Source organism: Homo sapiens, chromosome 15 (assembly GCF_000001405.40).
Source record: "Homo sapiens chromosome 15, GRCh38.p14 Primary Assembly".
Lineage (NCBI taxonomy): Eukaryota > Metazoa > Chordata > Mammalia > Primates > Hominidae > Homo > Homo sapiens.
In genome coordinates, this window is record NC_000015.10 from 40,804,854 (window position 1) to 40,815,298 (window position 10,445).

Consider the following 10,445-nt stretch of genomic DNA (forward strand, 5'->3'; position numbering starts at 1 on the left):
TAGCTGGGTGTGGTGGCACATGCCTGTAATCCCAGCTGCTCAGGAGGCTGAGGCAGGAGAATTCCCTGAACCTGGGGGGCAGAGGTTGCAGTGAGCCAAGGTTGCACCACTGCACTCCAGCCTAGGCAAGAGAGTGAGACTCCGTCTCAAAAAAAAACCCTCCAGATTTCCCACTTGGATCTTTTGTGAAATGTCTCAAATAGTTTCTCACTATTAATAAAGTACTAATTAAATAATTTGCAGGCAGGGCATAGTGGCTCACACCTGTAATCCCAGCACTTTGGGAGGCCGAGGTGGGAAGATCACGAGGTCAGGAATCCAAGACTGGCCTGGCCAACACGGTGAGACCCCGTCTCTACTAAAAATACAAAAATTAGCTGGGCGTGGTGGCGGGTGCCTGTAATCCCAGCTACTTGGGAGGCTGAGGCAGGAGAATCACTTGAAACAGGAAGGCGGAGGTTGCAGTGAGCCGAGATCATGCCACTGCACTCCAGCCTGGGCCAAAGAGTGATACTCTGTCTCAAAAAAAAAAAAAAAAAAAAAATTAGCCGGGCGTGGTGGTACATGCCTGTAGTCCCAGCTACTCCGGAGGCTGAGGCAGGAGAATCGCTTGAACCTGGGAGGCAGAAGTTGCAGTAAGCTGAGATTGCGCCACTGCACTCCAGCCTGGGCGACAGAGCGAGACTCCGTCTCAAAAAATAATAATAGGCCGGGCACGGTGGCTCACGCTTGTAATCCCAGCACTTTGGGAGGCTGAGGTGGGCAGATCACGAGGTCAGGAGATCGAGACCACGGTGAAACCCCGTCTCTACTAAAAATAAAAATTATTAGCCGGGCATGGTGGCAGGCGCCTGTAGTCCCAGCTACTTGGAGAGGCTCAGGCAGGAGAATGGCGTGAACCCGAGAGGCGGAGGTTGCAGTAAGCCGAGATCGCGCCACTGCACTCCAGCCTGGGCCACAGAGCGAGACTCCGTCTCAAAAACAATAATAAAAAATAATAATAATAAAGAATTTAAAAAATAATAATTTGTAAACATAGAGCACTTAGAATACTATCCAGAAAAAAAAAATACTGTCTAGGACATAGTAAGCATTATACAGATGTTAGGAATTATTAATCCTAAAATATTGAAACACGAGAGAGGTGGAGCAGATGCTTTTGATGCTTCATAGACATCCCATGGCCATTTCTGATTTCAGCTGCGGCTGCAGGGGACAGATTTGTGCAGGTTGACAGCATTTCTCAAGGGCCCTCTGGGTCTCTCTGATTTTCTGCCCCAGAGCTTCCTCTTCTCAAAAGCTCACTCACCCCATGAGCAGGGCAGCCCAGAAGTACTGGGACATTAGTGGGCACTATTTTTTTTTCCTTTTTTTTTTTTTTTTTTGAGACAGTCTCGCTCTGTCGCCCAGACTGGAGTGCAGTGGTGCAATCTCAGCTCACTGCAACCTCCGCCTCCCGGGTTCCAGTGATTCTCCTGCCTCAGCCTCCCAAGTAGCTGGGACTACAGGTGTGTGCCACCACGCCCGGCTAATTTTTGTATTTTTAGTAGAGAAGGGGTTTCAGCATATTGGTCAGGCTGGTCTCGAACTTCTGACCACATGATCCGCCCGCCTCGGCCTCCCAAAGTGCTGAGATTACAGGCGTGAGCCACCGCGCCCGGCCTAGTAGACACTAATTTTCTTTCTTTCTTTCTTTTTTTGAGAAAGAGTCTTGCTCTGTCGCCCAGGATGGAGTGCAGTGGCGCGATCTCGGCTCAGTTGGGCACTAATTTTCATTTGATGAACGCCTCTCCTTCGTATATTGTTAAAACTACCACCATGATCCAGGGGGAGATAAAAGAAATCCTAAATCCAGCTTGATCAGTGTTTCACTCCCTGGCATCTTTATCACCACCTAAGGTAGCATGGACCTCTATACCATCTGCCTTAACCTTCTGATCCTCCTGCTTTTAGCCCACTAACTAGCACATGCTGAGAAGGGCATCAGCTACTTGAAAAGAGTCAATGGGCTTGAGTGGAAAAGAAAATAGAGACAGCAGGGTCATCGGTCACATTGGCAAGGGGGCATGAAAAGGGAGTGGAGAGGCTTTGAGATCTTACTTTTCTTTCGTTCTAGGCTCTTAGTGGAAGAATTAAATCAGCCTGCAGAAGAGACTGAAATGAGGCACCTCTTGTCACAGTCAAGGCAGAAGCGGAAACGGAGGCCGAGACTGCGCAGGCGCAGAGGAGGCTAGCGTTCCTTGCTGCCTCGCCCCGCGGCCTCTAGGAGACAGGGGCCACGGGGAGAGCACAGCCACCCGGCGCGAAGAGCCCTCTGTACCCCGCTTCCTCTTGAGGCCCTCGGACCGTCCAGGAAATGTCTGGGAGCCCGCCTGCGGAGGGCATAGCGCCGACCCTCGCTCCCCGCCCAGGACCCGAATGAACCTGGAGAGCGGATGCCAGCAGTGGCCGAGGCGCTAGGACAGGAAGGACCGCCAGACCTCTCAAGATCAGCCTTCCTCGCCACCGTTCTCACCTCTTTGTCCGCTGCCTTCTCCTCAATGCCTAGCAGCGCGTACAGGTCCATCTGTAAGAGCTCCTTGGTCACTGCCATGGTTCCGGCCTGACGGATTCGTACTACAACTCCCAAGAGTCTAAGCGCGCGTGAGGACTGCAGGCTCCGAGCGGCGCCTAGCCCTCTGGGAATTGTGTTCTGGGTCAGGCTTGACTGACTCTGAGGGAGGCCGGCAGTCGTGAATGAACTACGACTCCCAGCAGCCCCCGTTGCCGCCGCTGCCGTACGCTGGCTGCAGGAGAGCGTCCGGATTCCCTGCTCTAGGTCGCGGCGGGACAGTGCCAGTGGGCGTGTGGGGCGGGGCAGGGCAGGGAAGGGAAGGGCGGAGCTGGGGTGAGGGTCCAAGGGGCCCAGGACTTGGCCGGCGTGATCTCAGCTCTGCAGACCCTGCGGTGCTGGGAGCCACCATGGAGAGTAGGTGCTACGGCTGCGCTGTCAAGTTCACCCTCTTCAAGAAGGAGGCGAGTCTTCCCTCCCCGAGGGCTGCAGGGCCAGGGAGGAGAGGAGGGAAAAGCGCGGGACTTAACGTCCAAAGACTTGGTCTTACGGCTCCTTTCCAGCTGTGTGGTTTTGATGAAGTCATTGATCCTCAGTTTCCATTTCTGTAAAATGGGGCTAACATTCTCTCGCTTTCAGGGTTTATGTGAGGGTCCACTGAAGTGCTTTAGGTGAGAGTTCCCTATAAACTGTAAAGCGCGCTGCCGTCGTTTTTGCAAAGCTACTCTTTTCTGTCGGCCCAGTGTAGCATCTGGCGGTTTTCTTCTCTCCACCCTGCTCCTCCGAAGCGCGGTGTCCATCACACCAAGCCCGTTACTCCCTCTGCTCTGAAATCTTCCCCATCCCGCAGCCTGCCCTTCTCCAGGTCGCTGGAGTTAGATTACCACACTTCCTCCTGCTTCCGGGGCACCATGGTGAAGGCTGACTGTCCTGTCCCTATCACAGACCTGCCAGATTCCTCTGGTAAACTGCAGGTTCCCTCTGCCTCAGTTGTGGCCAGGGATTCTGACCAGGAGATGATGGGAACTAGATGGAGTAAATTAGTGTCACGCAGGAAGGCAGGACCGTGCAGCATTCACCAACCTGGATTTTGGAGTCAGCGTTCAAATCTGAGCTCTGCTGTCTTATTGAGGCGGTGACCTTGGTTTGGATAAGTTATGTAACCTCTCTGGCCCTCTCAAAATAAGGATAATCACGGTTGGCATCAAGATTAAGTAAAATAATGTGTGTAAATTGTAAGGAATAAATCACATGATGAATGTTAAGTACTGGGTTTAGTGCCTGGCACATAGTAAGTGCTTAATAAATGGAGGCTATTGTTAGCCCATCCTGAGCCAAGCCTCCCTCCATCTCTGCAAGAGCAGAGGAGGCATCGGCTCTGCCCTGTCTCTCTGATTCTCCTTTGTGGAAGAGTCAGTGGCCTGAAATACTGGGCTTTATCTATCTGTCTTCTACATCCCTGGGTCAGGGAATTGAAGACAGGGTAGAAAGCATGGGAATTTTGTATAAACCTTCATTTGGCTTGAATAAGGTACTGGAAACCGAGGAATTGCTTTACTCACCATCCCTAGGCCTTAGGGGCCCCACTCCTCTTCTTCCTCCCAGCAGCTGGTCATAACTTCAGTGACTTCTCTCTGTGTGTGCTTGGAGAGTCCCTGGGAGCAGCCTGCAGGGGCGGGTGAGAGGGGGATCTCCCGCTTCATGTTTCTTGTAGTACGGCTGTAAGAATTGTGGCAGGGCCTTCTGTTCAGGCTGCCTAAGCTTCAGTGCAGCAGTGCCTCGGACTGGGAACACCCAACAGAAAGTCTGCAAGCAATGCCATGAGGTCCTGACCAGGTAAGAGGCAGGCATGGGTGAAAGTTCAGCCAAGTATGGCAGTGGGCATCTGGCCAGCCCTCACAGCTTTGTACTCTGTCGCGAGAGTCAGCCGAGGAAGTGTTTGGAGTGGGGGGCACTGCCTGGTGGGATGGCAGGATTTATAACACTAGATTTCTTCTCTGTAGAGGGTCTTCTGCCAATGCCTCCAAGTGGTCACCACCTCAGAACTATAAGAAGTAAGTGCTGAAGAGAAAAAGACAAAGAGCATTGGGGAAAGGATAAGGGAGCCATAGGGAAAGACCCTGCCCCCATCTTCTAGATAAAATGAGCACAGAATCAGGAGAATTCTCTCCTCTCTGGCTCCTGACTGCCCTCTTGGGCTGGTAAAGCAGCTCTTCAGCCCTCTCTCCAGGACAGGCACTTGGTAGAGCTTGTCCTTTCAGCTGGACCGTCTGGCTGGTCAGCCAGGTTGGGCTGCAGGGTGACATGAGTGAGGGGCACAGCAGATTGCCCATTGGAGGCCTCCCTAAGTGCCCAGAAATGATTTGATTTGAATGGGAAACAGTGAGTGGGTGCCTTCACTCTTCCCCTCTGCCTTCTTCAAGAGCCTCTATCTCATATCCTGCCAGGCGTGTGGCAGCCTTGGAAGCCAAGCAAAAGCCCAGCACTTCCCAGAGCCAGGGACTGACACGACAAGACCAGATGATTGCTGAGCGCCTAGCACGACTCCGCCAGGAGAACAAGCCCAGTGAGCAGGGGCAGATGGGGTTGCCTAGAGGACACAGTCCAGGGCTTCTGGGACTGAGATGCCTCTGGCCCTTACAAGGCTCCCCCCATGCCAATTGCAGAGTTAGTCCCCTCACAGGCAGAGATAGAGGCACGGCTGGCTGCCCTAAAGGATGAACGTCAGGGTTCCATCCCTTCCACCCAGGAAATGGAGGCACGACTTGCAGCGTTGCAGGGCAGAGTTCTACCTTCTCAAACCCCCCAGCCGGTGAGTGTTATGGCTTAGGAGAGAAGCGGGGGTGCTAGCGGGAGGACCCAGCAGAAGCCCAGATACAGGTATTGGGGTGATACAAAAGTAATTGTGGTTTTTGTCATTACTTTTAATTGCAAAAACCTCAGTTACTTTTGCACCAACCTTTGTACTTTATGTACTTTGCAGGAGTTGGCAAAGCCTCCCACCCCTACCTCCTGATCCTCAGGCCTGCTACCAGACCCGGGGACCAGGGACAAACAGCACGATAGGGTAGGGCAGGAAAAAGTGGCCCCTCAGTCCTGTTGGGGACGGCCAGACCTACTTGATTATGTGGGCCCTGGATCCCTCTCCTTTCCCTGGGCTTTGAGAACTACTTAGCATCCATCCCTGACCTAGACTGCTTCTGGGCTACCCCTGCTCTCCACTGAGGTTTCCTCGTCTGTGCAGGCACATCACACACCGGACACCAGGACCCAAGCCCAGCAGACACAGGATCTGCTAACGCAGCTGGCAGCTGAGGTGGCTATCGATGAAAGCTGGAAAGGAGGAGGCCCAGGTAACCCCTCCACTTGGCTCCCTAGGAATCTGCCCTACCTCTTTCCCCAGACTGGAGAGGCTCTGCTGTCCACCCTCTGGGAGATGAATATAAATCGGAGAGTGATCAACGTTATAAGAGTTACCATTCATTGAGTGCTTACTCCAAAGGGAGCCAGTGTAAGCCTAGTGTTTAAGTGCACGGGCTTTAGAATCAGACAGTGATTCCCATTTCTACCACGTATTAGCTGTGTGATGCTGGACAAGTTACTTGACCTAAGTCTCACTTTCCTCATGTGTAAAATGAAGGTATGTATGGAAAAACCTACCTCACAGGGAAATCAGGAGGAGTAAACGAGATAATCCAATAAGTGCTTGGGAACATACCTGACTCATAGTGAGTACTCAGTGAATATTCTCTGCAATCATGATGTTGATAAGGAGGAAGAAGCTATTTAGTAAAACCAGCCACATCTCAATGCTCAGTAGCCATATGGGCTTCATGGCTACCATCTTGGACAGCACAGATATAGAACATGATATGGAATGTTTCCATCATCATAGAACATTCTGTTGGACAGTGCTGTTTGAAGGCTTCAGAGCAGTGGTTTTCAACAAAGGATGATTTTGCCCCCAGGCTACTTGTGGCAACATTTAGAGACTTTTTGGTTGTCACAACCCAGAGGATATTACTGGCACCTACAGGATAGAAGCCAGGGATGCTACTAAATCTACTATGTCACAGGACAGCACATCATGATGAAGAATTACCCGGTCCAAAGTGTCAAGAGAACTAAGATTGAGAAGTCCTGCTTTAGAGGCACAATCTCATTGAATATCCTCAATAATCTTATGAGGCCAGGTGTGGCTCACGCCTGTAATCCTAAGCACTTAAGGAGGCAGAGGCAGGAGGGAGGATAGCTTGAGCTGGGGAATTTAAGACCTGCCTGGGCAACATAGCAAGACTCTGTTTAAAAAAAAAATCTTATAAGGTACATACTATTCTTTTTTATAAATGAGGAAACAGGCCTGGTGAGCTTGAGGAACTTGACCAAGGTCACACAGCTATTAAGCTGCAGAGATGAGACTTAAACCTAAAGCTGTGATTTTAAACCTCTTGCTCTGAAACACTAAACTGAAGGTGACTGTGTCAGAGCCACACCTAATCTGGTAAAATTCTTCCTGCCCAGTGATATACAAGCTCTTAGCTTCCTTCATTGCCCTCTCTGTGCTAATCCCAGGAGATGCTAATTCCTGCCCTGAAAGGCAAAGAGATCGGCTGAACCTGGGCCTTATCATGTCTTGATCCTTTAGGGCAGTGATTCTCAAACCATAGGACGCCCACCCTTAGGGCAGAATGTTAAAATATCAGGTAGATGGGGATGGATGTGGTTGGAAAAGACATGGGTAAAATTATTAGTTTTTTACATTTGGAAAAATGGAGGAATACTAATTTTATTTGTGATAGAAACCATAGGCGCTAGTGCTGAGCAAAAAGCTGATGATCTGTGATTAGAAAGGGTTGAGAAAAGCTGGGCATGATGGCTCACGCCTGTAATCCCAGCACTTTGGGAGGCTGAGGCGGGTGGATCACGAGGTCAGGAGTTGGAGACCAGCCTGACCAACATGTTGAAACCCCGTCTCTACTAAAAATACAAAAATTAGCCGGGCATGGTGTCACGTGCCTGTAATCCCAGTTACTCAGGAGGCTGAGGCAGGAGAATCGCTTGAATCCAGGAGGCAGAGGTTGCAGTGAGCTGAGATTGCACCACTGCACTCCGGCCTGGGTGACAGAGCGAGACTCCATCTCAAAAAAAAAAAAAAAGAAAGAAAGAAAGAAAGAAAGAAAGAAAGAAAAAATTATTAAAGAAAAAGAAAAGAAAAGGTTGAGAAATGGGCTCATTGGCTTCTGAGGAGAGATACTGGGATGTCTCGGCCTTGCTGATGGCATTACCCCTTCCAGCTGCCTCTCTCCAGAATGATCTCAACCAGGGTGGCCCAGGGAGCACTAATTCCAAGAGGCAGGCCAACTGGTCCTTGGAGGAGGAGAAGAGCAGACTGCTGGCTGAGGCAGCACTTGAGTTGCGGGAGGAGAACACGAGGCAGGAACGGATTCTGGCCCTGGCCAAGCGACTAGCCATGCTGCGGGGACAGGACCCCGAGAGAGGTGAAGGCTGGGGAGCAGCTGCTCACTGGTATCCCTTGGTCAAGGCCTCCCTGGCAGGGCTGAGTCAGGTGCTGGGGGTATTTGCGCCCAGAGATCTACTGAGCCCAGCCCAGAGCCACAAGGAAGGTGGTAGAGCAAAGCAGTGGGTGAGGAGTCAGGGGCAGCCATGAGGGCAGGGGACCTTCAGTCCATTCAGGGGCTGAGGCTTTCGCTCCAGCCCCCAACCTAGCCCTCAGGCCTGCTTCAGTGATGGCCCAGCCCTGCAGGGCTGGGGCAGGCAGGGACAGGTCATCAGGGTGGCTGAAGAGGCTTCTCAGCTCTGGAATAAGTGCCCCTGGGAACCGAACCAGTTCTGGGAGGCAGGAGGGCAGCCACTCATGTGAAATCTCTCACTCTCACTCCCCCATCCCCTGTTCCCATGTCTCCCTCTTCAAGTGACCCTCCAGGACTATCGCCTCCCAGACAGTGATGACGACGAGGATGAGGAGACAGCCATCCAAAGAGTCCTGCAGCAGGTGGGCCTGGATTACCCACCTGCCACCCCTTGTCCCGTCTCCGCCTCATTGCCCCACCTCTACTCTGGGGCTGGGTGGACAGTAACTGTGAAGCTCCTGTTCTCTTTGGGCCCCCTCCTGTGACCCAGACCCAGACCTGCCCACTGGTCCCTGGAGATAGGGAATCAGCAGCCACAGGCCACAAGTAAAGAAAAAGATGAGTTTGAGAAGCTAAGTCCACAGTGCACAGAAATACTGGGAGATGGAGGGCCTGGGCCTGAAGCAGGGGAGTAGTACATCTTCACCCTGTCCGCAGCTCACTGAAGAAGCTTCCCTGGATGAGGCAAGTGGCTTTAACATCCCTGCAGAGCAGGCTTCTCGACCCTGGACGCAACCCCGCGGGGCAGAGCCTGAGGTGAGAAAAGCCCCAGATGCAGACCCCCAGGCTCCCCCCAGCCTTGCTTCCTGCCTGGCTGACTGCTCCTGCAGCAGCTCACATACCCCACTGGGTACCTTACTTCCTCCATTCCTCTCTGATCCCTGAAGGCCCAGGATGTGGACCCCAGGCCTGAGGCTGAGGAAGAGGAGCTCCCCTGGTGCTGCATCTGCAATGAGGATGCCACCCTACGCTGCGCTGGCTGCGATGGGGACCTCTTCTGTGCCCGCTGCTTCCGGTGGGTGCAGGTGGAATGTTCTGTGCGAGAGCTCAAGGGCTGCCTGGATCCCTGACTTGTATCCCTTTGTTCCACAGAGAGGGCCATGATGCCTTTGAGCTTAAAGAGCACCAGACATCTGCCTACTCTCCTCCACGTGCAGGCCAAGAGCACTGAAGACACCCTGGTCCTCCCGGAAGGGCAGTCCCACAGGCAGCGGCACCCATTTCTGGGCCCAGCCACAGGACGTCCGATGGGAGAGCTTGTCTGGCTCTACTGATGATGGATAGGCCCCTTCCTGAGCCTTGGTGTCCCTGGAATGAGGAAAGATTCTCCATTCGAGAGAATGACTGGGAGGGAAGAAGTCGGGGCCCTCCTATTAGAAGCCCAGACTGGAAGTGAGAGGCATGATGGGGAGAGACCAGACTGAATCTACGGGTGAGCCCTGTAACCTGGCTCTAGGGCACAGGCCCCTCCCCTGGCACTTAGTGGGTCTAATAAAGTATGTTGATTCATTGGGCCCAGCATCTCATTTCTACAACCCTATGAGCCTGGGCCCTGTGAGAGGTGGCAGGAACAGAGCAGGCTGTAAGCACAGTTGTGGGGAATGGGGGAAAAGGTTGAGCCATCCTATGAACTTCTCCAGGCAGGAACAGCCCTACCCATCCTGGTGGCCTCATACGAAGTAAACATGTATTCATTCAACTCAACTGTGCTCCAGCTCTGGGCAGCCCCACTTAGCCACCAGTCCCCACCATCTTGGATTTCTCAGCCTCTCTACTACTCACACAATGCACGCAGGAACAATGCACACACACCCTGCTTCCTGCCTTACTGGCAAAGGACCCCAGCTCCTAGGGCTCCTGTCCCAACCTGCCTGCCATTCAGTCTCAGTATCTCTCTTCCAGTAATGCGCCCTAACCGGACCCCTGACCTCTCGGCATGTACCCTTTACATGCCTCTGCATTGCCTCTGCTGTTTCTCTTCCTGCCCCTGGCTGGAACCAACTATAAAGAGCCCTCGGGCTGAGGTCTACCTCCTGCATCACTTTTGGTTGGAAGAGCCTTTTCTGAGGCTCTCAGATCCAGCTAGGTTTTTCCTGTTACTTCCTCTCTGGGATTTGAAACTAGTCTTTGCCATTGGCGTCCCTCTTGTTGGTTATGCCAGTAGGCTGTGTACCTTAGGCAGATAATGTCTGCTTGGCCCCGAGGCCTTGCTAGATTGTGATCTCTCTGAAGTGGAGCTGTGA

At 52.5% G+C, this 10,445-nt stretch overlaps 2 protein-coding genes across 9 annotated transcripts in view, besides 4 other annotated features; one reads left to right on the plus strand and one right to left on the minus strand.

The window, feature by feature from the left end:
- DNAJC17 (DnaJ heat shock protein family (Hsp40) member C17) overlaps positions 1-2,620 on the minus strand; it is a 42,313-nt gene extending 39,693 nt beyond the window's left edge. For both annotated transcript variants that reach the window (NM_018163.3, XM_047432788.1), the window contains exon 1: positions 2,516-2,620. In NM_018163.3, the coding sequence (NP_060633.1) occupies positions 2,516-2,593 (78 nt within the window). In that variant the 5' untranslated portion in view covers positions 2,594-2,620. The remainder of the gene's footprint in view (positions 1-2,515) is intronic.
- Positions 1,899-1,988: an enhancer, noted in NCBI's record as "active region_9263". NCBI's record gives its function as "activates an Ori minimal core promoter by ATAC-STARR-seq in GM12878 lymphoblastoid cells {active_cell/tissue: GM12878}" and the evidence as "EXISTENCE:reporter gene assay evidence [ECO:0000049][PMID:35858748]".
- Positions 2,236-10,231, plus strand: ZFYVE19 (zinc finger FYVE-type containing 19). Of its 7 annotated transcripts, NM_032850.5 has the most exons (12): positions 2,236-2,560; positions 3,402-3,525; positions 4,266-4,387; positions 4,555-4,605; positions 4,999-5,117; positions 5,218-5,363; positions 5,796-5,904; positions 7,846-8,049; positions 8,485-8,564; positions 8,860-8,958; positions 9,090-9,217; positions 9,295-10,231. In NM_032850.5, exons 1-12 carry the CDS (start codon positions 2,436-2,438, stop codon positions 9,371-9,373), a joined length of 1,386 nt encoding a protein of 461 aa, NP_116239.3. In that variant the 5' UTR covers positions 2,236-2,435; the 3' UTR covers positions 9,374-10,231. The 7 variants fall into 7 exon arrangements, 6 of the variants coding, with proteins under 6 accessions (NP_116239.3, NP_001070736.1, NP_001245350.1 ...); NM_001077268.2 differs by lacking the exon at positions 3,402-3,525 and having other exon boundaries at positions 2,236-3,015; NM_001258421.2 differs by lacking the exon at positions 3,402-3,525 and having other exon boundaries at positions 2,236-2,818.
- Positions 2,449-2,498: an enhancer, noted in NCBI's record as "active region_9264". NCBI's record gives its function as "activates an Ori minimal core promoter by ATAC-STARR-seq in GM12878 lymphoblastoid cells {active_cell/tissue: GM12878}" and the evidence as "EXISTENCE:reporter gene assay evidence [ECO:0000049][PMID:35858748]".
- Positions 2,539-2,588: an enhancer, noted in NCBI's record as "active region_9265". NCBI's record gives its function as "activates an Ori minimal core promoter by ATAC-STARR-seq in GM12878 lymphoblastoid cells {active_cell/tissue: GM12878}" and the evidence as "EXISTENCE:reporter gene assay evidence [ECO:0000049][PMID:35858748]".
- Positions 3,219-3,268: an enhancer, noted in NCBI's record as "active region_9266". NCBI's record gives its function as "activates an Ori minimal core promoter by ATAC-STARR-seq in GM12878 lymphoblastoid cells {active_cell/tissue: GM12878}" and the evidence as "EXISTENCE:reporter gene assay evidence [ECO:0000049][PMID:35858748]".
- Positions 10,232-10,445: the final 214 nt, after the last annotated feature.